The 26,859-nt window shown below is 41.0% G+C and overlaps 1 protein-coding gene across 2 annotated transcripts in view; it reads left to right on the forward strand.

Moving 5' to 3' along the window:
- FRAS1 (Fraser extracellular matrix complex subunit 1) overlaps window positions 1-26,859 on the forward strand; it is a 486,947-nt gene that overhangs the window by 259,741 nt on the left and 200,347 nt on the right. For both annotated transcript variants that reach the window (NM_025074.7, NM_001166133.2), the window contains exons 17-20: window positions 305-445; window positions 1,747-1,923; window positions 16,209-16,349; window positions 20,611-20,754. In NM_025074.7, the coding sequence (NP_079350.5) occupies window positions 305-445; window positions 1,747-1,923; window positions 16,209-16,349; window positions 20,611-20,754 (603 nt within the window). The remainder of the gene's footprint in view (window positions 1-304; window positions 446-1,746; window positions 1,924-16,208; window positions 16,350-20,610; window positions 20,755-26,859) is intronic.

A 26,859-nucleotide genomic window follows, 5' to 3' on the forward strand; every position in this document is an offset into this window, starting at 1 on the left:
TAGTTAATAATGCCTACCTCATAATGTTGTTAGGAAAATTAAAAGTGACAATGTGTAGAAAGTGCTTAGTACAAACACTAAATAAAGGGTAGCTAATAAGCAATATGTAGAGCATGGCTAAATGGTGGGTAAACGGCCATGTGGGCAGTTCTGGCAGTGTAACCACCTCCTAACACATTTTCCCCTTGGTTTGGTGTGACATCCACAGGGGACTAAGAGTCCCAGGCCCGTGAAGCCCAGCCAGGAAGTGGGCACTTTATTCACCCATGTCCCATGGCGTTCTCCCTCTCACTCTCTTCCTCAGTTTGTCATAACTCATGTGCCAGCTGCTCTGGGCCCACACCCTCTCACTGTACAGCCTGCAGCCCCCCCAAGGCTCTGCGTCAAGGCCACTGTCTGCCCCGCTGTGGAGAGGGTTTCTACTCTGACCATGGAGTCTGCAAAGGTATCGTTGGTGTCACCATCATTCTTGAGAGGCTATCCCACAAGAACATAGATTTACTTTTTTCCAATAATATAACTTTCCAGTGTAACTTTTCTTCTAGTGTATCTTTTATGGCTATCCATACATTATATGCATTTTTCATTACAGTAGTTTTGCAAAGGGTTAATCTGAAAAAATTTTATTTGAAAATTTGTGAAGACACTCAAAGTGTTATGATTTTTTTTTCTGGCTGTTTTTAGGGGGAATATTAAATTAAACAAACTAGAACTCTTATTTCCTCCTTTCTCTGCTCTCTTACCTTTGCTAATGTTTTTCTTAGACTTCATTTTGTTTTTCCCTAAAGAATTTCTTTTTGGTAATGACACTGCTGAGCAAACTGAGAGTCACTAGCGATGCCTCTGGGCTGAGTGAAATGGAAAAATCTTAAATAGCTGTTTACCATAAAGGCTTTGGGCTGCTTGGGAGGGCAATATCATTTAAGCATTTTGAAACTAGAATATTGGGAACAAACACTTTAATTAAGTGAAATAAATGTATATTTATTTATACATCAGAATTAAGTGAAATCAATGTATATTTATTTGTATATCAGGCACCTTAGAACAGAGTTTGAGAATAGTTACAAGAACAATGTATTTGAAACAGGAAAGCTGCAACAACTGTTTCAGAAGAGAAAATTTACAGAATCTTTTAAAGAACGGGAGAGTTAATTGTATTCAAATGTGGGCACCAGATAGTTTGACTACCTTATTTGGCTTTGCTTTTCACCAGTAGCCAGGGTAAGCAAAATACTGTCTAGAAAAGCAGGCTTTAGCCAGAAAAATTCTAAGAGGAATTTGTTGCCTGGACCCCTATGTAGTGGGTGTTGGATGACTCATGGGTAATAACACAACCACCATTTTTGCAAAAGATACAGTAATGGCCTCCCTATGAATGGTTCTAAAAATCTGCAATAAAAACCAAGGGCATAATGTTAAATCATCATTTAGTGAGTGTGTTTCTCTGGAGAACCAAGCCAATATTGTCCAGTTTGCTGTTTTTGCTCATTTGTTTGTTTGTTGTTGTTGTTGTCTAGCCCGACAGCCCTTATGGGACCTGGGAGATGTGACTGGTTAACACCACCCCTCACTGTTCCTTTCACAAACATTATTATCACTCTGTGCTTTGTATAGAACATTAGAAAAATAATATGCTGAAAGGCTGCATTTGGTGAACTTTTCTAAGTGGGTTTGATTTAATGAAAGATTTGCAACATATATTTGATCCTTGGATTATTTTCTGCATTTTATTTCCATTTGCAGCCTGTCACTCCTCCTGCCTGGCTTGTATGGGTCCCGCACCCTCTCACTGTACTGGGTGTAAGAAGCCAGAGGAAGGACTGCAAGTGGAGCAGCTGTCTGACGTGGGCATCCCCTCTGGCGAGTGTCTAGCCCAGTGTAGAGCCCATTTTTACTTGGAGAGCACTGGCATATGTGAAGGTAAGCATGATTTGAGAAAGTGTTAGGTAGCCTCTGGGCTTATCTCTTGAGAGATCCTGTGAGGTGGGACCAAAGCCAGGAAGACCGATGTTTAATTTTAGAATGGTTCCTAGATGCTTGTGAATAAAGCAGGAGACCAACGTGCAAAAGAGTAGCCCCCACCAATAGCCTCCCTCCCTTTGTGAACCATAGATGATCTTAAAGAGCTAATCCCTTCCACTCCACCTTTTCCAAGGTTCCATTCGCAGGAGTCCCAGACAGAAATTCTTTCAGGGACCACTATGTGTAGTTACAAAAGACTCAGAGCTCATTGTAGAATTTCATTTATTATTCCTTCTAATTTGCTACTCTGAATATGAATTGGTCCCTTCAGGGCAAAATCTGGACTTCTGTCAGAATTTAGAAGTGATTTCTGCTGTTTGCCTTGGCATATCATCTACAGAGAATTGATGACATCCTGAATAAATAATTTGACTCAATAGCCAGGCCATCTATGAGTGGTTGAGGAGATGAAAGGGAAGTATTATAGTTTCCTTTCTGTTCCCACAAGTAGCCTTGCTGTTGGGTGAATAGTTTGACTCTAAAGCTACGTGAAAAAAAAATCATTAGTTTGTATTTTTCATTGTAAACATATGTTCATTAAAAAAATTTTATAATACACCCACTACCTAAACCCAATTGCCTTTTCCATTTTGTTATAATATCTGAGTCTTTTTTCATATTCATAGCTTTGTGTGTTTATATTTGTAACATAACAGTAAGCATGCTGCAAATTCAGTTTTGTATCCTACAAGTCTACTCACTGAAGTGGCCTCCAATTCAATATACCCTCCCAGTGAAATGTGGGTTTCAAGACTAGGTTAAAAGATTTCAGGCACAAGGTGTCATATGGCACAGCAGGAAGGATGCAGAATTGAAATGCAGAGGCCCAGGGCCAGACACTTAACCTCTCTAAGTGTTTGCATTCACAGTGTTAGAATAGGCTGACATGTAGCCTTTTTGCTAGGCTCAAAGATGGTTAAGAGTGTCAAAGTGGCCGGTAAATTATAAAGCCCTCCTGCTCCGTGGGTGCAAACCTCCATCCATGTACTCAGGTGTCCTGGAACATGATGGGGAATCCCCTGCTCCCTGGGAGGCTCCAGACTCCAGAGGATTTTCATGGTGCCCAGAAATTGAAGGGAAGGTCACCACTCTCCAGACATCCTGGTTTCTACCCATGTATGCATTGCCCAACCTCTCTGTGGCCATTTAAACTCCTGTGGCTCTGTTTTTATAACCACTTGTGGAATATGGGCATCATTGTTGCTGCCTAGTCCCAGTGCTGTCCCAAGGCACATGCCACACAGCCTTCCCCTGTGGTCTGGTTACTTCCAGGTGCCAAAGTGGAGGGTGATGTGGCTCTTTCCTTAGGGACCCCACAGACTCTGGTGGGAGGAGAGGTGCTGGGGAGCAAGTGGCGGAAAAAAGCATTTTTCTCCTCTGTTTAATTGCTTCTCCATTCTCTTCCGTGGGTTTAGGTTTGCCAGACAAGCTTCCTCCAGTCACTTCCGCTTTCTGGCAAAACCTATGTCCCCTAAAGAAAATTATTATAGTGCCTAGCCCTGCTTGATGTGAGGAAAGTACAAGGAGAAAATAGAAAGAGAAAGCATAACTTCTCTCTCCCTCCCTCCTTCTGTCTCTCTCTCTCTCTCTCTCCCGCATTTTACAGAAGTGGTTTTTGTTTGATGGAATCTGTGAAACTAGTCTGCATAGTTTTACACAGCCTTGAACTGTGCACCCTGAGGTTTTTAGTGGAAACCACAGAGGAATTAGACCTCCAGGAACACCAGTCTTTCCAAGAATTCAGAGAGATGCCAAGTGAGACCCCTGGCTTTTGTGACACACAGGTTGAAAGTGGAGGAGCTAGAAAAGCCCACAAGAAATTCCTCACTGTAGCCTGATGATTCTGGTTTTCCCATTGGTACAGTGCTCCCATGAAAAAACAAAGTGACATCTTCCTAGACCACTCAGCGCAGTTAGGTGCTTCTTACAATTTTGAGCACCACATTAAACATTCAAAAATGGGGAATTCGGAGTGGGTTCAGAAATAGTTAGAATTGTAAATAAATAAAAATTAGAGTGACCAGGGTTTTTCAGCCCAGAAAATAATATGACCATTTATTTGATACCCACCATGAGCCAGGCACTGTGAGAAGTGCCTTACTAGTTTTGCTCACTTAGTCTCAATGCCAGCCTTATGGGGTCAGTAGGACAACTGTTGTCCAGGAGCAGAAACTGAGGCTTGAGGAAGTTGAGGTTGTGATGTGCTCAAAGTCATGTAGCCAGCACAGAGTAGAATCCCGTGGGAATCTAAGTCCAGTATCCAGTATCCGTGCTATAAACCATCACGCTACTGTATTCCAGTGGCTGAAGAGTTCAAGGTGGTACAGCTCCTAGTCTCCATTCCATACAGGAGAGAAGCACAGCATACTAATGCTTCAGGGTTAGAGCATCTTAAATTTAAGAAAACATCCTTGACAAAGGGAAGGTTTCTGGGAAGCCCTTTATACAGGCACCTTTAAAAAGATTAGAATCTGACTGGGTTCGGTGGCTCACGCCTGTAATCCCAGCACTTTGGGAGGCCGAGGCAGGTGGATCACCTGAGGTCTGGAGTTCGACACCAGCTTGGCCAACATGGTGAAACCCCATCTCTACTAAAAATACAAAAAATTAGCTGGGCATGGTGGCACGTGCCTGTAGTCCCAGCTACTTGGGAGGGTGAGGCAGGAGAATAGCTTGAACTCGGGGGCGGGGGTTACAGTGAGCTGAGATCACACCATTGCTCTCCAGCCTGGAGTTAACAAAACTTCGTCAAAAAAAAAAAAAAAAAAGGTTAGAATCTAATCCTGCCAGAATGGTTTCATTGTGGTCCCATGTGAAAGGACTGAATTGACCTCTTGAGTCCCTTGTAGCCCTGTGACTTTATGCTCGTTAACATAATATTATTAGATATCATACATATAGCTCTCTACTCATGTTTATTAGCAAATCCCTGTGCAGTCTCACTAGGTAGGTTGTTGTACTCAATTTACAAGTGATGAGAATGTGGCAGAAAGAGGTTAATTGAGTTGCCTAAGATTCCATTGGGAAACCGAGCACAACTACCAATTGTTTCCAACCTTACCTGAGTGTTATGTGTGCTGATTGATGTATTTCCTGTCAGTCATCCCGTATCTCTGGAAACCTTTCTGCCTTCCCATAATCTGTTCCGTTTTCAATTCTGCTGAAGTGCTGTCTATGAATCAGGCCTGGGAGTCCTATGAGATTGCACTGGGCTCTTCTTCCCACATCTTCCCAGAAATATCTTTGCCTCTCTGCAGAATGTTAAAAAGGTTAGATGGGTGTTGTGTGTATGTGTGTGCGTGTGAGTGTGTGCGCACATATGCACTATTGAGGGTTTCTTTTATAGCACCTTTAGTTTCAAATGCTTTCTGTAAGGAAGAGAAAAACAACTGTTTTCTAGAACTCTCCTTCCTTTCTTTGAGACTACAGCACAGAGTGATTAGAATATTACTGCAGCTAATAAAAGCAAGAGACAGATTCTTTATAGGAAGAAGCAATTTACTTAGACACTGAAGTGGTGTCAGCAGTTATCGTAACAGTTTTTACTTTGAGCCACACAACAAACCCTAGTGCAGGATGAAAAAACAATACTACAGATATTTAACTAAAATCCAAGTCTGTGATGAGAGGACAAAAAAATTTAAAATTAACAGTGATCAAAAGGAACACTACTTATTGGAAGCTGGAGGACAGTCTGTCTTTATTCATTCCTCCGGCAAATGTTTGTTGAGTGTCTCCCGGGTGCCAGGCATTTCTAGGCACTGTGAATATACTAGCAAACGAGTCAAATGAAAAGTCCTTTTCTCATGGAACTTATATTTTAGTGAGAGAAATAGATAATAAATAATGAATGAATGAATGAGTAACAGTAGCAGCAACAAAACCCATGGATGCTGGTCTGTGCCCAGAAGCCCCCAGCAAGGTAATGGAGGAGAGAGGAATGGGCTGTTGTGGCTAGAAAGCAGAAGAGCTCTGGTAATATGGCGATGGCCACTTGTATGCATTTGTCCTGTGCTTTGGCTCTTCAAAAAAAATGAACTGGGTGCTTCACAAGGCAGAACTTTGACTTCATGTTTCTTTTTCACAAGGCCTCTATGTTTCCAAAGTGTGGCTAGAATTGCTGGCACAAAAGAGGGTTTGTTGCTAATTGTAAAAGATTGGAGACATTTTCAATAATCAGTCCGAATTGTGCACATTTATTAAATATTACTACTGAGTATTAGCAAAAAGAATTGTAGTAATTGTAGTAATTTCATCAAGTTGATCTCACCAGTTTAGCTGAGTGTTTGCTAGCACTGATAGATTCAAGTGACTTCATAAAAAAGCAAACCCAAACCCAAGAAATACACATCAGCCCCTTGCACAAAAAAACTAAACAAATTACAACAAATTAATAAAAACCTGCATCCCCCAAAACAACATCAGAAAACATTTTTTACTTTTTTATCAGTCTTCCTTCACTGATTCCCATGCCTCTGTGGGTGTCAATCTAGATGAGGTCTGTAGGGGGAGGGGTTTCTCTGCTGCACACCCCCAAGGGCGCTATTCTCATAGCTACCTTTGTGCCTGGCTCCTCCCGGAGTCACTAGTGACAACCAGTGTGGCAGTACGTGGCAGCCCAGGGATGGACAGACAGAGCAAAGGATCTAGAACTGTATGTCTCCTGGAGGCCTTTGCTACTGATGTTCCTTGGATCTATTTAAATTGCTCAGCTCAGCCTCTGATTCTTCTTCTACTATGGTTGAAGGATTTTTTTTTTCTTCTAAAAGGTTTAATTATTTTGAAGACTTAGCTTTTATTTGAGGTCCCTCTAGAACAGAATTTCTCATAGGACTCTCCTGGGAATCTTGTTAAAGATTCAGTCGGGTGGGGGTGAGGTCTGAGTTGCTGCATTTATAACATGCTCCTAGGTGAGGCTGATGCTGCTGATCCCTGGACCACAGTTTGGAGAAGCAAAGCTTCTAATCAAAGAAGAAGCAGCATATCACTTCAGCACTGGCATACTTCTTTCTCTCTTAAAGAGTTAGTAAAACATCCTCGTTTTTGTTTTTTCTCACTGCATGCATTATACATATTACAGAAACTTTAAAAAGTATAAATAAGGGAAAAAGAAAAATAATACCTATTACTAAATTTGATTTAGCAAATAAAAATTCAGGCTTTAGCAAGTTTTAAAAAATGAATAATTTTTATAGTATAAGCATATCCCTAATATTGCATAAGATATTCTAAAATATTATTTGTCGTTTATCTGAAATTCATATTTAACTGAGCGTCTTGTGTTTATCTGGCAACACTACCTATAACCCTTTCATTTTGAGATTACTACTTTTAATCTTATGGCATAAATTCTGACAGTTGTTTATATAACACACACACACGAACACACATACATGTGGGTATATATCCCTTTGTAGTTTAGAAAGTCATCACAACCAATAATTTTGTTGAAAATCTTGAAAGTTTGCATATATCTACTCCTACTTTATAGATGAAAAAAGTGATGCTTAGAAGGAACCAAGTAAAGAATGATTTAGCAATGAGGGATCCTGGGTTCTAATATAGGACATAGTTGCCCAGAACTAATTTACTTACTTTCTTTTTATTAAGCTCAGATTCCTTTTTTTTTTTTTTTTTTTTTTTCTGCATGTCACACTAGAGCTTTACAATTTAATTCCAGGCCAGGCCATCCAATTAATAATGCAGCTCTGTCGCCATTAAACAATTTGGCAGTGGTGACTGGGACTGGATATGAACATGGTCAGAATGATTAGATTAGCCATGTAATTACCCCCATTCCATGGTAAATTAATAATGGAGTCTTTCAATTTCCATGCAGTTCAGCATGAGGATTAAATATGATATAATTTTGAAGACATTACAAGTTTTTATTTTAAAAATGAACTCTGTACAACAATAATGAGTTTTACTTACACATTGTCTAATTTATTATCTCAGAAGAAACACAGTGTTTTAAAAAAGAATGCAGAGATAATAAACATCCCAGCAGTCCCATCCCTGCCTTTTCATTGTACTTAGATTGGTGATGGAACTTTGGTCAGGGATTTATCAGGGGAATTTCAGCAACTAAATATTTCCAGCCTCCTAGGGCTGGGTCTTACTGCACAGAGCAAAATTGCACAAAATTGCTACAGGTTTAGTATCAGTTTTTAAAAAAATAATTCACCAGTTATTTTGGTCAATTAATTAACTTGGTTTAGGTGAATGGGAAGAAATAAAGCATGCTCTGTGTATTTTGATCATTTAGTTGTTGCTAAGACTCACCAAAGGCCTCAAGGCAAAGAGTTTTAATTAAAAAAATACGTGGGCAGGAATCTGCCTGTACAGCTTAAGAGTATGTTACCGTTTATGAAGTTGGAATTCTCTTGCATTAATTGGATTAAGCATATGGAATCTATATTAAGCAATGCCTTTTAATGTAGTCCCTAGAGTGCTGACATGCGCTGTACAAATAGGTGCCTTCTGGTAATGTTCAGTCTTCTTCACTTTCCCCTTCTTGCTTTTATAGCATGGGTGTGCCAGGCTTTGGGGATAGAAAGATGAAAAAAATACAGGCCATGCCTGAAGGAAAGCATCATCAACTAGGAGAGACTGATGTCTAAGCAAACAATGAAAAGAGCATGACACATGCCATAATAGCAGTAGTCACAAGGGACTGAAATAGCACAAAGTAGACGGGCTCTGTCTAGGAGGGAAGGTAGTGAGGAAAGATTTGTAGAGGGAAAACTTTCTATGATTAAGCCTTTGAAGGATTAATGGGAGTTCACCAGGTGAAGAAGGTGAGAAAGGGCATTCTAGGCCAAGAAAACAGTAAGTGCAAAGGCGGGTTTGGAGAAGTACAGCGTGTTTGGTATTCTTATAGTATAAAGTCCAAAGAGGAGAATTGTGCAGAATGACGCTGGAGATGCAGGGTGTGTGTGGGACATTACATGACGTACTTTATGTGCTGTGCTAAGGAGTTTAGAGTTCACACTGTTGTTACTGGTAAACTATTAAAAGATTTTAAGTAGGGAAAAAATTTGGTCAATTCACATTTTATAAAGATCGTCTGGTGGATGTGTGGCAGATAAATAGGCAGAAACAGGGTAGGGCTGGTTAGGAAGCTGCTGCACTAACCCAAGTCATGAATGATGTTGAAGATCCTTATTAAGGGGCTGTGGGAAGGTGGGATAGATTTAACAGAGATTTAGGAAGTAAAATCAACAGAGCTTAAATGGGTTGTGGTGATAGAAAAGTAGAAGATTAGGATAACTCCAAGGTTTCAGCATGAGTAACTTGGTGAAAGGTGGAGCTACCAAGTGAGATAGGGAATAGAAAAGAAATAGCAGGTAGGGGAGTAGGATGTGGGGTTGGGGATAGATAGTGAGTAAAGTTTTGGACTGATGTCCACAATTTACATTAAGTGCATATAGGATGAGCTTAGAAGTAGATGCAGAGTAGTATTTTGGAAGTGAGGAATATGAGATACTTTTGAAACACCCAGAAAAGATATCTCCTAGGTAGTAGATTTATGTGATCAGAGTTCAGGATTAAAGGCCAAAGCTGTACACATAAATTTAGGACTTACTAGCTTGGAAGTCATCATTAAATCTATGGAAAAGTTTGCCCAAGAGTAAGAAAAGGAAGGATAAAGGGTGGAACTGGGGGAAGCTTCAATATTTATGAGGTGGTTAGAGAAAGAGGCTGAAAGAAATTTTCAAAGACAGAAGAAGTAGATAAGTATGATGCCAATGCTTTCATCCATCTATCCACCCCCACACACACTACCTGGCCACCCATTTAGTCAGCAGAAATTCATTTATTGAGAATTTATGACATGACAGGGAAAAGGGACTGTGATAGGCACTGCAGGGATCATAGAGATGAAAAAGATGTGATTTTTACTCTTAAAGAATTTCTAATCTAGTCAGAATGAGAGATTGGGGATGTTGAATCATGTTCATTTAAAAAAAGAAAACACAAAAAGACTGAGCACAGTGGCTGACACCTACAATCCCAGTGGTTTGGGAGGCTGAGGTGGAAGGATTGCTGGAGGCCTGAAGTTTGAGGCTTCAGAAATCTGTGATCATGCTGCTGAACTCCAGCCTGCGTGCCAGAGCAAGACCCTTTCACCAAGAAGAAAACAAAAAGTAACGAGAAGAAGGAAAAGGAGGGTACTCATTTCAATTTTTAGCCCTTATCACCGTACTCCCGTTGTGAGTCTAGAGGATTTTGATATCTACATCATATTTTGAGAGAAGCCCACTCAAAATTTGTTTTTGACATGAAAAGCCAGGAAATTTTGTATGATATGAAAGTAGGGACACTTTATCACTTTTGTTGTATCATTAAAAAGAAAAACAATAGTAGTATCGGTTGTTTGAAATATACATGGAAAATAGAATGAATAAAAATTGATAAGTTTAATTATTTTAGGTACAGTTTTTGCTGAAGTCAGGTTGGCTGGACTTTATAGTCATCTAAGGACACTTTTTAGTGCTTAAGCAGCTCACTTATGCTTTTTCAGAAATATATGTACTTAGCCATCAACTGGAAAGGCAGTCTCTAAAAATGTAGTATTGCATGGAGGAATTATTCATAGAACTTCTTTCAGATATCTCCCATATATGCTCTGTAATGGGTTCAGTCTTCCTTGAAGGATCTTAGACTTCAGACAGAACTCCTGCTATGAAATCAGCTTCCACAGAATGATTAAGCCTCATATAAGTCACTGAAATAGTGTCGATATTTCCAAAACCAGCACGGAATTGAAATTTCATGACTTTTTTTTAAAGGATGCAGATGTTAACACCTGTACTTGCAGAAACAGAGCATTATAGAGAAAAAAGATACTTTAAGAGGATTGTCATCCAGCGTATTCTTTTCCCTCTGTACCCACAGCAACTAACTAGTTCATTATCTAGTTAGTTCTTAAACATTTCCAATGAAGTCTTCTGAAGACTGTCATGGCAACGTTCATTGAGCTTATTTCTAAAATCTAGTGGATGCAAAGGGACTTTCTTCTGGACTTCTTGGCCCACAAGCCTTTCAACTTGTTTGTCTTCTTTACTTTCCTGTTGTATATAATTGAAAAATAACCTTTGTGCACATTGAGTAAGGCTATTACATTCGTTTTGTGACCAAATGAAATGAAATGTTTGTACTCATAATGCACTAATTAATCTTTCTCTAGTTTTTAATTCCACAGTGATACACTTTGATTTCCTATTTATTAAGGAGGTATAACAGGAAGAGCTAGGGATTTTAGCAATCTTGTAAAGTCTGATATAAACCTAATGGTATCATCAGACATATATTTAGGTGTGCAAAAATCTGTTGCTTCAAGATGCTTCCCCCATATTATTCTGCAAAGCTTTGTGTTAACAATATTATTTAGCTGTGTTTTAAAGCATTGCCACCTCACTTTCCTTTACATACTGTTTTATTTTGTGTTAAACATGTCTTAAATAAGGTGCTAAAGTATATCCTTCTTTTATAATAATATTTTCTTAAACATCAGTTCATTCATTTTGTAAAAGGAGTCTGAAAATATTTGGGAAAAAATTCCTAACTGTGAAACCATGCCCTAAAAATTTTGAGGGCCCATCTAAAACTTTAATTTGGGAAGATTGTGTTAACTCACATGCAGTAATTTTAAAAAATGACTCATACGGTTTAGTAATAGACTGGGCACCAAAGGGCTACTTAAAAAATAATTGCTCCTCTGGCTGAAGGGAATGCCTGGAGGCTACTTATTTTATTTCTTATCAGGAGAATGAGAATCATCATTCTACTTTGCATAGGAGGATCAGCTCATTCTTTCCCTTAAAATGGGAAGATAAAGGCATTACCCCCACCAGGCCTCGTATGATACTCCCCATTCTGAGCCCAGAACACCCAGAACTTTGGAAATTGGCTATTGCCATGTCTGAACTGCGAGTATGGGAAGGAAAAACTATTCTGACTGTTGTTCCCACTACCATCCCACTCTCTCAGTATCAACGTAGACCCAGACATTCTGCTTTACTTACCTCCAACCTGACTGTTCCCATCCAGAGTTGTGTTAAGCCTCCTTACATGCTGTTAGTAGGAAATATCAAAATTTGGACAAATAACCAAATTGTCCAATGCATTAATTGTCATCTATACACTTGTATTAACTCCCATTTTGACTCCAGGAAAAGTGTAATGTTGGTTCGAGCTCGAGAAGGAATCTGGATTCCGGTAACTTTACCTAGACCTTGGAAATCCTCCCCCTCAATGCATTTAATTAATGAAGTGCTACAGCGAATTCTAAAGAGATCTAAGAGATTTGTTTTCACTTTAATCGCTGTTATCATGGGCCTAATTACAGTCACTGCAATGGCCACCACTGCCGGAATGGCATTACACTAATCCATTCAAACGGCTCATTTTGTTAATGATTGGCAAGCCAATTTCACCCAAATGTGGAATTCTCAACAAGGCATCGATCAGAAATTGGCAAATCTAATTAATGATTTAAGACAGTCTGTTATGTGGCTTGGAGATGGGGTAGTGAGTCTCGAGTACCACATGCAAATGCAGTGCTATTGGAATACTTCGGATTTCTGTATCACCTATTCCTATAACGAGACTGACCATTCATGGGAAATGGTCAAAGGACACCTTCTAGGTAGGGAAGATAATTTATCATTGGACATAACTAAATTAAAGAAACAAATTTTTGAAGCCTCTCAAGCTCACTTATCCTTTGTGCCTGGAGCTGAGGCATTAGATCAGGTGGCAGAAAATCTTTATGGATTAAACCCCATGACTTGGATTAAGTCTATTGGGGGCTCCACTGTAGTAAATTTTGGAATTATGTTTCTCTGTTTAATCAGCTTGTTTTTAGTGTGCCGGAACAGTCAAAGAATCCTGTGTCAAAATTGAGAGAATGAACAAGCCTTCATCGCCATGGCACATTTATATAAAAAGAAGGGGAGAGATGTTGTGGGAAGTCAGGGACCCCAAACAGAGGGACCGGCTGAAGCCATGGCAGAAGAACGTGGATTGTGAAGATTTCATGGACATTTATTAGTTCCCCAAATTAATACTTTTGTAATTTCTTATGCCTGTCTTTATTGCAATCTCTAAACATAAATTGTGAAGATTTCATGGACACTCATCACTTCCCCAATCAATACCCTTGTGATTTCCTATGCCTGTCTTTACTTTAATCTCTTAATCCTGTCAGCTGAGGAGGATGTATGTTGCCTAAGGACCCTGTAATAATTGCATTAACTGCACAAATTATACAGCATGTGTGTTTGAGCAATATGAAATCTGGGCACCTTGAAAAAAGAACAGGATAACAGCAATTGTTTAGGGAATAAGAGAGATAACCTTAAACTCTGACCACTGGTGAGCCATGCAGAACAGAGCCATATTTCTCTTCTTTCAAAAGCAAATGGGAGAAATATCGCTGAATTCTTTTTCTCAGCAAGGAACATCCCTGGGAAAGAGAATGCGCGCCTGGGGGGTCTCTGAACTGGCCCCCCTGGGCGTGTGCATCTCTTATGGTCGAGACTGCAGGGGTGAAATAGACCCCAGTCTCCCATAGCACTCCCAGGCTTATTAGGAAGAGGAAATTCCCACCTAATAAATTTTGGTCAGACTGGTTGATTGCAAAACCCTGTCTCCTGATAAGATGTTATCAATGACAATGGTGCCAGAAACTTCATTAGCAATTTTAATTTCGCCTCGGTCCTGTGGTCCTGTGACCTCGCCCTGCCTCCACTTGCCTTGTGATATTCTATTACTTTGTGAAGTACTTGATGTCTGTGACCCACACCCTATTCGTATCCTCCTTCCCCTTTTGAAACTCCCTAATAAAAACTTGCTGGTTTTACGGTTTGTGGGGCATCACGGAACCTACCGACATGTGATGTCTCCCCTGGAAGCCCAGCTTTAAAATTTCTCTCTTTTGTACTCTGTCCCTTTATTTCTCAAGCTGGCCGATGCTTAAGGAAAATAGAAAAGAACCTATGTGAATATCGGGGCAGATTCCCCGATAATAGGGCTGTTTTATAATCTTAAAAAATAAAATTTAATTTAAGAAAAAGAACGTTAATTAAAAATATGGGTCTCTAGGTTCTGTTTATCATATAGTAAAAAATACTCTTGAATAAAGCTCTGTAGTATATCCGGGGATGATGATCAAATATTTATTAACCAGTAAGGCAGGGGCACTGCCCAGTGAGAATGGCATTGACCTCAGTTCAGGAGCAGAGTCCTGGGAATCTCCTGGTATGGGTATTAGCCTGTAGGTGTCAGGCTATGAGTGGGGCAGGGTGCTAGGGGTGGGGTCAAGGCTGCAGCAGAGCACTGGAAGGCTTAGGGCAACAGTCATATACCAACCTGCATGGAAGTAGTTCAATACTTTAACCACCAGTACTGACGAACCAGGACATTCCAGCTGAACATTAGCTCCATATATATATTAAAGATTCTATGTTACATCTTATTAGGGGTTGGTGGCAATGGAGATCTCAGTGGTGAAAAATCACTTCTGGTCCTTCCAAGCCAGCTGAGGCACAGTGAATGTACTCAGAGGGTGTCTCTGCAGTCTGGTGGATCTTGTCCATTGGGCAGAAGATGGCCTGAAATGCATGGGGTTATCTGCATGAAGAACCAGGTCTTTGTCTTACTCATTATTGTATCCCCAGTACTTGAAGCTACTTGAGGCTCAATGACAAATGAATGATTGGAGATAAATGGCTGGTTGTTTTAACATGTAGTTTTTATTATTCCGATGTGTTGAGGCCAGAAGATCAGGAGACTGTTGCCATTGAAAAGTTTGTTACAGCTTCGAAGAGGAAGGGGCACCTCATAGCATAAAAGGCCACAAAGGGGAGCACGAGGGTCAGTCAGGAGGCAGAGGTGATGGGGGGAACATGGGCAAGAGACTTTATTCTAACGTCAGTAGAAAGGAATGGGTGAAGTAGGGTAAGCAGGCTTAGGATTGGCTAGTTGGGATAATTACAGCGGTCTGTGAGGTATGGAGACTGTCTCTAGTTGTCTAGTACCTGGCCCCAAGGCAGAAGAATAGTAGCCTGGAGTGTAAGCGTATGATAAGGGAGGTGGTGGGAGTGTGAGTTCTGGACTAGTTAGTTTGCATATGAAAGGCATGCTCCCAAGGAAATCATTTACTATCTCCAGGAATGTAGCCCCGGGAGGGCCAGTCTCTCCAAAATCTGCTTGGTTTCAGATGTCAAAGAATCAAAAATATAGAAAATAAAAAGGCATGATTAAGACAATGGCTACCCTTGAGAAGTCATGCAACTATCCCCTTTATCATTAAAGGTCTGATGAAAGCTAGCAGAGATGTTTTCTTTCTCTTTGCCTTTAGTCTCTTTTCACCTGTGGGTTGTTCTAACATAGCACTTAATGCTAATGCTTATAGCCAAGATTTATTAAGCCCTTACTACGTGTCCAGCACTATCCTAAGAATTCACATGCATCAGCCCAATTAGTGTCCACAACACCCCATGCAGTATGTTCTGTTTGGATTTTTGTTTTATAGATGAGGAAGCAGGAGCCTTGAGAAATGAGTTAGTCAAAGTCACATAGAGCTATGCTGTGATGCTCTTATTCTCTGTGCTATACTCTTTCATTCATTCTATTTCAGTAGCTTGCTTGGGTGTCTGTTGTAGCAACTAGTTTGAGCAGCTCAACATGTTGGGCAATTCTCATCTGTGTATGCCCAGTCTCCATCATAGCGTAGGCACTTTATAAACCTATGTGAAATCAATAAGTGAAGCTCTCACCAGCTTTTCCCTTTGATTTGAGCAACCCGATAAGCAGCAGAGTATCTAGTGATAGACAGCTGTCCCAAGGGAGGGAGAACTGTTTTCTGGCTTCCTGTTTTTTATTTGACATTCTCTGAGAATGGGAACTTGGGAAGCAAGAAATGTATGATTCTGTAAATGTTTATTTCTGTTTTGAGGCACATGTGCTTTACTTAATCTGAGTTCCACAAATGCTTGCTTTGCAGGAGACTGCCTTTAGAGGGAAGTGTGTGAGATGTGCAGCCTGTCATTGGGAAAACCAAGTGAATGTACAGAACATACTCTGACCCAGGAATGTTAATGGGAGAGATAGAGTTACTGTCTGTGTCACGTGGGGCTTTCCTGATTGTCTCCTTTGCTTTATCTTTCCCCCAGCTTGCCACCAGTCCTGTTTCAGATGTGCAGGGAAAAGCCCACATAACTGCACAGACTGTGGGCCTTCCCATGTGCTGTTGGATGGGCAGTGCCTCTCCCAGTGCCCAGATGGCTACTTTCACCAGGAAGGTAGTTGCACAGGTGAGTATGTAATGTGCTGAGGCACATTGCCTATGACCATGTTTTGTCTTCAGAGCATAGCCAGACACTGTAATTAGAAACCTTGTCATACCGGGGACTAAGATTCAGCTGTAAATCCTTGTCTTGAACTTGCAGATTCAAAGTATAGAGGGAGGGGAACAAGTGAAATTTAGCTCTTCCAGTAAGGAAGCATGGAAATAAAACATTAGAATCAGCTTTACCCTAGAAACTATAATATTTGAATAAACTCTGAACTTGGTTTTCTCTTGCCTGGAAGACAATGATCTGAATAAATAAATCCTGTCGTGGACTAAATAATGACCTTTATTTCCTAAAAGAACTAGAACTTAGTTCAGCATAAGTCTTTGTTGCTATGGCTTAAAGAGAGAGAGAGAGACAGAGAGAGAGAGATAGGGTTCTGCTGTTGCCAAGCTGGAGTGCAGTGGTGTGATCACAGCTCACTGCAACCTCACCTCGGCCTCCTGGGCTCAAGCAGTCCTCCCACCTCAGCCTCATGAGTAGCTGAAACCATACATATGTGCCACCATGCTTGGCTAATTTTTTATTGTGGAAAAAGTGTTGCCCAGGCTAGACATGAACTCCTGGGCTCAAGTGATCCTCCCACCTTGGCCTCCCAAAGTGCTGAGATTACAGATGTGAGCTACTGTACCCAGCCTGTGGCTTTTTAAAAAAGTTTAAAAGTTTATGTTTCTGATTATTAAAAAGATATGTGCTCATTGTGGAAGGATTGAAAGTTCAGAATAGGAAAAATAAATGGGGGTTTGGGGATAAAGATAACTGATTATGCCACATCTTAGAAGCAACAAATATTACCCTGGTGATAGATTCCTTTTTGATCTACTTTTTATGCATGTTGTTACATAATTGAGAATAAATTAGAGCTATACTTTTTAATATTTTTTTCAAAACATAAAGTCATAACCAATTTTCTTTTTTTTTTTTTTTTTTTTTTTTTTGAGACGGAGTCTTGCTCCGTCACCAGGCTGGAGTGCAGTGGCACGATCTCAGCTCACTGCAACCTCCGCTTCCCAGGTTCAAGCAATTCTTCTGCCTCAGCCTCCCGAGTAGCTGGGATTACAAGTGCGTGCCACCACACCCAGCTAACTCCTCTATTTTTAGTAGAGACAGGGTTTCACCATGTTGATCAGGCTGGTCGTGATCTCGTGACCTCGTGATCCACCCGCCTCAGCCTCCCAAAGTGCTGGGATTACAGGCATGAGCCACCATGCCCAGCTGTCATAAGCAATTTTCTATGTGATAAAATGTTATATGTACAGATACGTGTGTGTATATTTATCGTTTTCATGGCTGCATATTATTCTATTTCTTTTTCTTTTTTTTAAGAGATGGATTCTCACTCTGTCACCCAGGATGGAGTGCAGTGGCATGATCATAGCTCACTGCAGCCTTGAACTCCTGGGCTCTAGTTATCCTCCTACCTTAGCCTCTCAAGTAGCTGGAACTATAGGCATACACCACCATGCCCAAGTAATTTTTTTTAAATTTTTTGTAGAGACAGGGTCTCACCTTGTTATCAGGCTTGTCCTGAACTCCTGGCCTCAAGCAATCCTCCCTCTTCAGCATCCCAAATCGCGGGATTACAGGTGTGAGTCACTGTATCTGGCTCCATTTCTTTTCACATAAGAAATGAAATTTGGCAACTGGGACACTTGAGGACACTAGGGCGATCTTTTACTTTCTCCCTCTTAATGAGGTACTGCTCTGGTTGTCAATTATTGCCTAATAAACCACCCTAAATTTGTGGCTTAAGACAACAATTGTTATATTTCCCAGTTCTGAGGATTGCTGGGCAGCTCTTTCTTCAGATCCTGCAGGTGGGCTCTTCATTGACGTCTGTCACCTGGGTTGGTCAACAATCTCTTACTCTATGAGGCCTCTTCTCGTGGCTAATTGTACTTCCTCATGGCATGGCAATCTCAGCTAGTCAGTCTTCTAATGTGTCAGCTGTCTTCTCCTGGAATGAGTATTTCAAGAGACCTAAGCAGAAACTGCAAGCTGCCTATCACCTAACCTAAGAAGTCTCACTGTCACTTCTGCTATATTCTGTTGGTCAAAGCAAGATAACCCATATTTGAGCGGGTGAAGGAACAGAATACACCTCTCAGTGGAGGAATGGCTTATGCACACAGTTAGGGATGGATTTGATTATCTTCATCATGGAGACAAGCTACCTTGGGTGTTAATGCACTTGTATGGAATCAAGAATTTGGCACAGGTAACTGTGCACTTCCCAGCCCCACTTTCCCCGGGCTACAGCAGAATAGAGCAAAAGGAGATGGAGGTATTTATTTCCTTCTTTAACATGTCAGTCCAGTATGTTTTTTAAGATCACCTTTATGTTTTAGTGACAGAGATTTTGAAAATCACTAGTTGGGATTAGTACAGAATTTTGTTGGAATTGACACAGTACTAAAATTTAAGGACTTTATTGTAGCACCGTGTGTGGTGGTTTTTTTTTTTTTTTTGGTATATACAGGAAAAAAAACATTCTATCATGATTTCTCTTTTATTTCTAAAAAATAGACAGTTGGGGCCTGCTGATAGGAAAAAGCCAACTGATATGAAATTATATTACATGAATTTCTGGAGTCAGTAAATGTAATAAACTTATGACATGTTTTTAAAATAAATTAATATCTGTTACATTCATCTAGCCTTAAACTTCAAAGAAGTGATTTAGAATGAACACAAATTTAGATGATTGAAGATCAATATTATATTTGTTCTGGAATTCTTTGCCTTTTTCTAACTGTCTTTTTAATCTCTGCAGTCCCCTGGTGAGTTGCTTTACTTTAAATACTCTGTCAAGCTCAGTGGGGGAATGTTCCTGGTTTCTTTGTCATTAGGATTGCCCTTGAGAGCTGTTTCTATCCTTAGGTGCTTTCATCCTAGCCCAGCTGGTTTTTGTATGTATAAAATTGTTTAGGGGAGGAAAGTCTGGGTAGATCTAGCTCTTCTCTGTCCATGCCTCTTTCCGCTGGGAGCCAGCAGATGGATGGTACCATAAGCAGCAGGGCACCCAGGTCACTGGAAATATTCTGATAGGGAGGAAGAACTGGGTGTTGGAAATCATCCAGAGAATGCTATGTCTTTTGGATAGGTGCTTTCAACATTGAGAGCCTCAGGAATGTAGGAGGGGTGAGAGTGCTATCCTTCTAATCAGCAGTTTATTTTCTTGCTTGCTTGCTTTTTTTTTTTCTTAAATAACTCCTTATCTTCTCTTGGCCTCTTGCCAGAATCCAGAGGCTTTACTTGAAATCTGTGCCTTTGCTTCCCACCAGCCACGTGCCAGGAGGGAATTCATCAGTTCCTGCAAAATCTACCCAGCTCCAGCCCTTCACATCCCCTCCTCTTGGACTCAGACCTGCTTAGACCTCCTTGTCCTTGGCAGAGAAGTTCTTAAATCTGCTTCCATGTGCTTGCTCCTGCTGCTCCCTTGGCAGCGTCAATGCAGCTGCAGCTGCAGCCGCCTCTGATTCTTTGCCACCCTTATCCTTATTGCTTACACCTTACCGTGACTCTCTTGGTTTGTTTCAGTGTTGTATCTCTTGTTAATTTGGTGGTTTTTTTGGAGAAGACATAGCTTTGGCATAACTTTGTCTCTAAGGAATTGAACTTCAGAGGCAGCTCACGATAACCTCCAGAAAGAGGACTTTTTCTGTTCTTTGTATTTTAATTAAGTATTGCTGATAAAATAAGCATCCCAGTGGTAGTGGCTTGAAGGGAGTGTCTGGATGGTGCCTGACTCTAGAGAGAAGTTGCAGTATAGTTTGCTGTGTGTGGATTCCCCCCTCATCTGCTAGAAATTTCTGAGAAGCAAAATGTCCCCTTCTTCTCCCTGTCCCACTCATTCTTTGAGTCATGGTATGTTAGGGTCAGGGAGTCCTACCACTCGTGTTTCTGCTCTGTGACTATGATTTGAACTTCCTTACTTACACAGATGGAGATGATCATGCTGGTCTCTCTGGAATGTGTGGCCGATTTCTCACATATTTATAGTTCTAGATTCCATATTGTGTTCATGGACAGTACTGCCCTTGACATCAGAAATGCAGTCTCTAGGTCAGGTCCAAGGGTGTGCCCGGCTTGCTCAGGAATCTTCTAAAGATGATTAGAGTTGGAGGTCTGCTTTTAATGTAATTTGTGGAATGCATTAAATACTTCACGCATATACATGCTGAGCTGCTAATTCCAATCCTGGTTTTCGTCCCCCTGCCAGAGTGTCACCCAACCTGCAGGCAGTGTCATGGGCCGTTGGAGTCTGACTGCATCTCCTGTTACCCTCACATCTCTCTTACCAATGGTAACTGCAGGACCAGCTGCAGGGAAGAGCAGTTCCTCAACCTCGTGGGATACTGTGCTGGTGAGTGAAACTCCTGTGGACTCCTCGGAAATCACTGGGCAGCTGCCGGGGCTCTTCATACCAGGCTTAAGGGGGCTCTTTGTCCTCAGTTTATGAGCTCTTTTATAGGAGACATTTGTTTCATGTCTGGAAACTCATGTTACTGCTTCTCCTTGGGCATTTAGTAAATACTTGTGGATTTAAATAGAACTTCTAATAATACTCTTGCAAATCCTGAAAATCTCAGACTCTCATATTAATGAAGAATGAAGTGATGATAATAGCACCTTTATATGCATTCAAAACTTCTTAAGATAGCAAAAAGTGTTCTGAAAATAAGTCACTCCAAGCCTTCCTTTCTCTTGTCTGCATTTTGTCCTGCTTCTTGTTGTGGAGAATCTTTGCCATCAGCCCCAGACACAAAATTTTAGAGAGATTAACCTAAAAGTAGATCAGTTGCCTTAGGAGATGGGATTTTTTTTTTCTTCCTCATTTTAGAACTCAGATCTAAAAAAAAAAATTAGGAAAGCAGTCTGAAATTTGAATAATGTTGGAACCAGACATCATTTATGTTCATCTATCTATTCAGACAACAAATGTGCATTTTTGAGTGCCTACTAATGGTCAGATGCTCAGAATACAGGAAAACGATGAAGGAGACAATGACTCCACCACCAAAGAGCCTATAGACTGGGGAGGGGAATTTACTGGGTAATGGGTTATTGTATATTTCTTGATCCACTTTTTCAAACTCTGGGAAAAACTTGCAGAGCTTCTCCTTTATTAGCTGTTGCCTCAGCTCAGAAGGGCTGAACTGGGGAGATCCTGGGATGCTACTGGGCAAATGGGAAAGGTGAGAAAGTGTGCTGAGAGGTTGACCAGGCTGTCAGGCTTGTTCTGGAGCAGGGAAGAGGCATGGCCAGTTGTCTAGATCACAGTATCCAGCAGGCACATTCAGTCTGGGATGGCGCTGACATCTCGGCTGTTCGGTCTGGTGGATTGAGGGTGGGGCGGGGCACAGCAAGTCAGTGGCTGTGCTCCCTGTGGCTGGTGGTGCCATGGTCCAGGTGACCCATTTATTTTTGCATATGACATTAAAGACTAGACATTTTGGTATTAAGGTCTATATCCTAAGAAAACCAAACTGTCAAGCACAGGGCTGCAGCCCAGAATGCTGGATTCGGAGCGGAAGCCCAAGTGTAGAGACTGTGCAAGCCTTTTAGGTGCAACAAAAAGTGGAAATTCAGAGTCCAGGATTTGGACTAATCAGAATTCCTATCAGCTGTAGGATGTGAGTCTATTGCTAGTGATGTTAGTCGTAGTCAGGACTGTCTTGGAAAGTGGGAAAAATGGGAGATAGTAGTGCCCATCCCTGAAAGAGAATCTGGGGATGGAAGGGGCTGTTATTACAGTTTGCATGTTTGAGTTTAGCTACTTATTATCACTTTAAGATATGGAGGAGCAGCTACTCTGAGAATTAAATTGCTCCCTACGTGGCTAAAGCGTATTGGTGGATATTTACTGAGAACTCACTGAGCACAAGGTGCCAAGTTGATGTTTGAGGGGGATACAGAGGTCTTCCAGGCTACTTAAGGAGGTGAACCAAAGACACAAGTGTAGTTAACAAATGGTACAAAGCAATTTAGGGACAGTAACACCAACCAGTAATAAGGGCTGTAGGAGTTCAAGGTAGGGAGAAGTAACAAGATATGGAAGGCATTATGCGGGGGGGTGGAACCCAAAATATTTCCAGAAGAATAACCAGGATCCTGTGAGACAGAGGGAGATCTGGTGGGCTTTCTGAGCATGGTTTCACCAGGAGACAGGCCCAGCAGGTATAGCACGTGGGCCATTCATGACTAGTGAGTCCTCTAACCTGGGTGACAAACATGGTTGGTATTAAAGCATATTAGTTAAAATGGTTGGGAAATTTAGATTCAAACCAGAGTATAGAAAGTTCAAAGTTTCAGGCCAAAAAGTTTTGACTAGATTTTGTGAGCAATAGGGCCATGAGAGTTTTGGAGAGGACTGTAGCTTGACTAAGGGTGTCTTAAGGCAAGAAATCTGCAACTTGTATGGAAAATGGACTAACATAAGGAGAGATTAGAGTCAGGGAGAAGAGTTAGAAGGTAGGACCTGAATTATATCCTTCATGATGGCTTTTTTATTTAAAATGTAACTCTGAATGTGGGCCCTAAAAATTTTATGCTAGGGCATATTTAAAAAATACATGTTTATATAAGGAGATTAGAAAAATTTAATTTTTAATGAGCTCTGTTCTAATGTCCAGAGTGTTCTTTGATAGTAAATTAGGTGATTAGGACTTGCATTAATTTTTTAAGGCTAATAGGGAACCTTTAGAAGGAGAATCACGGGACTGAGCTAAACAACTCTGGAAGCCCCCAACCCTAGAAGAGAAGGTCCTACCAAAATAAGCTGAAAAGGAAAATCTTGGCTGTCCTGGGAATTAGGTGTATTAAGTAATGGTTTTAAATGAGGTAACCATTGTCTGGTGCTTAGAAATCATTTATTGATTAAAGACTGGTGTAATAGTATTTATTATAAAAAAGTTTGATCAGTAATTTCAGTTATTGAACTTTCAGAGAACTGTGCTGACCCCAAAGTTTACTTTTTCACTAAATGTATGACTTATCTAACACCTCTACTTTTCTCTGTAGCATTGCAATGCATTCACTCATGTACAGATTCATCAAACATTTATGAAGCCTTTGCTCTGTGCCAGGCATTGTACTGGGCTCTGGGGATATAAAGACAAATCAAATATGGAGCTTGCCTACAAGAAATGGACTCTTTAGTGAATGAAAGTGTTAGTTTGCTAGGGCTGCCATAACAAAATACCACAGACTGGGTGGCTCAAACAATGGAAATTTATTTTCTCCAAGTTTTGGAGGCTGGAAGTCCAAGATCAAGGTGCCCGCAGGCTTGGCTTACTCGGAGGCCACTCTCCTTAGCTTGTAGATGGTGGCCCTCTTGCTGCCTCCTCTTTGCACATGTGCCCCTGTTTCCCTCCGCATGTCCTAATCTTCTCTTCTTATAACTATATTGGTCACATTGGATCAGGACCCATCCTTTAATATCCTTATTTTAACTTAATTACCTCTTTAAAGGCCCTATATCCAACTACAGATATTCTGAGGTACTGGGATATGGCCTCAACACATGAATTTTCAGAGAATGAATTCAGCCCACAACAGAAGGGAGTGGGTGTTTAGTATGATATTGCTGTGGTACTCTGTGCATAGTGCAGGATATGAGATGAGCCCATGGAACAGGACCCTGACCCACACTGGAGTGTGTGTATGTGAGTGTGTGGAGTGGGTATGAAAGCTTTCCGGAGGATGTCACAACTGAGATGATTTTAAAGGTGAGTGAGAATTAGAGGAATTTGGAGCTTTGGAGGCAGAACATTTCAGAAAATGGGCCAAAGAGGATTATTTATTGAGACACCCATAAAGAGTTGAGTCCTGTGACAGTGGTGAGACTTGAAGTGGGAGGGAGCAGGACTGGTCTGTAGGGCCTTGGTACACCCGTGGGGATGCCTTGAAGATTCTGGGAAGTGTCGCGACTGCATTTCTGTGAAGAGAAAGATCTGCGGAAGATGGCTTGGAAGAAAACACTGAGGCAGAAAGTTCTTTAGGAGGTAGCTGCAGAAATCCAGATGAGAGAAATCCTCTAATGAGAACGTTGCTGAGGGGATAAAGAGAAGGGGTCACGATTTCACCAGGTATTAATAGTATGTTAGGTTGGCTCATCTCAGATTGCTGTTTTGTCTGCAAAAATGGTCTGAGTGGCAATTTCATATGATTTAACATAATAGAAGCAACAGAGGTTGGTGCTCCCTCAGCCCTGGGGGGTAAGGGAGAAGGAGCTTTGCAGATAGTTTCCAGGTTTCTGGTCACAGAAATTCGAGGGGTGGGAATACCATTTACCAAGGGTAGGAATAGATCTAGGAGGCAGTGAGGAAAACAGTGTGCTTGAATTTGGCCAAGCTCAATTTGGGGTGAGAGTTGGACATCCCAGAGTGTCTCTCCAGCAGGAGGTTAAACGTATAAATTGACAGGTTTCTTACTCTAGCTACTAGGAGCTTGTCTCCTCTCTCAGTGTTGCCCTGAACCTAAAGTCCTGGAGTTGTTTTTAACTAAAGTATTGCCTCAGTCAGGTCATAGTTAACCTCATAGAATGTTTAGGTGACTTTTATCTAAACTCAGGAAGGTGTTAGGAGAAACCATGTGATGACAGGCAAAGCCGAGGATAATCTACCTTGTGCGGGGCTGGCAATGTAATATCCTCTCCGTGTCCTTGGGAAGTCCTAGCTCATGGGAAGTCCCGGAGAAGGACCCTCTCTGCCTGCTCTTTCGTGTATGTCCAAGCGCCTCCAGGGTGGTAGGGTTTCCTCTCAGGATGCATTCTCTATTTGACTTGGAGACCTCTTAATTGTACTTAGCTGTTTAAAAAAGAAAATGACATCAAATCCAGCACACCGCCAAGAGTAAACCCATCCTGGGAGCAGGTCCAGTAACCTCAGTGTGTCTCACATATGGAGATGTCATATGTGTGGGGTTTCTTCCTCCAAGTCTATCAAAGCAAATATAAAGTATGTGAGATTTAGGCCAGAGCTGCAGGTTTTCAACAAAGATAAATGAACTGAGGTGAGAGGCAGCTGTGCATAATTGCGGGAGACACAGTTACTTTCTATATGGAAAGCCAGGTTTTCTTTTGTCATAGATTAGAAAAAATTTTTTTTTTGCCCACATCTCAACAACATTAACAGAAAACTCCAAAGCCTGAGGTGCTTTCTGCATTTCTCTTTCTCAGCTAAAAGCTTCCTCTTGTTCATAGAATAGGGTAAGAATTAAAAGGAAAACAGATAAACACCTGGGGGCGGGGGAATGTCCACATGCAGATGCATTTTTTAAACAATGCTTTGAGTTTTGTGGACTGCCTGATGGGATGGCTATGTTTTTGAGTTCTTATGTAGAAAGAAGATAATATCAAGGGTAATATTGCAGAGGGGAAGACCTGAAAAATTAAAATAGTTTTTTTTGGGTAGTGAAAGTCTGGGGGATTAAAAATTTGTTATTGTTTATGAAGTATTTTTTTAAATGCAGGTTTGCTCTTTCCACAAATCTGTGTGAGAATGTGAGCAAAAGAAGACAAATATCAGTAAAGAAATATACTTTGAGTATTTTCATACTGTATTCCTATTCCACAGAACTCAAATTCTAAACAATGGTTAATAGGTGTTGCATGCAACAAAAACAAAAACAAAAAAACCTCCTGGCCAGATAAATTTGGGATTGACTCGGTTACATAAAGGTAAGCAACTTTCTTTATTGCAGGATTTCTGAGAACCTTAAAAATGCATATGTGTGCTGTGAATCTTTAAGATGAAGATGGCCAAACATCATTTCCCGAGCACTGAATTGAAGACCCCTTCCCTTTATTATAGCCTCTTACAGGGTTAGCCAGTGATATGCAGAACAATATTTTGGAGTCCTTAACTAACTGATATTTATACTTTGAACAATTGGTTTGCACCCCATAAAGGTAAAAGAAAATCATGAACCTGTATGCAGGTTGTAGACCAACTGACTTCCCTCCCTCCCTCCCTCCCTCCCTCCCTCTCTCTCTCTCTTCTACCCTACCTTCTTTCTTTTCTCTGTGGGCAGGCAGAGAGGTCACGCAAGGAGGTGCGGGTTTGCCACCCTTTTGCCTGCTGAAGAGCATTGCTGTTAACATTTTTCTTCCACATCATAAATAAACACTTTTGAGTCCTTTCCATGATTTTTCCCATTTATTGTCACCATTTCTGAAAGAAGGGCACTAAAAATGTGGTGAAAAAGTAAAATTGCTCAAATTTAAAGAGCAACACATCTTTATTTTGGAATAAGCTGATACAACTGCAGCACTGAATAACAGGGGGGAAAACCCAGTTTAAGTTGAACATAATTAAGAACCCTGGAGGGAGCCTGGTACGAGCCAGGGCACCAGCTCTCTGTCTCCCCTCCAGACACAGTGACTGGAAGCCAGAGAAGTGAGAGCCAGTTCTGTTTTAAAGCAGCTTCTACTGTGCGGGGGAGGTGGGTTGGCACCGCCCTATATCTT

Source organism: Homo sapiens, chromosome 4 (genome assembly GCF_000001405.40).
Source record: "Homo sapiens chromosome 4, GRCh38.p14 Primary Assembly".
Taxonomy (NCBI): domain Eukaryota; kingdom Metazoa; phylum Chordata; class Mammalia; order Primates; family Hominidae; genus Homo; species Homo sapiens.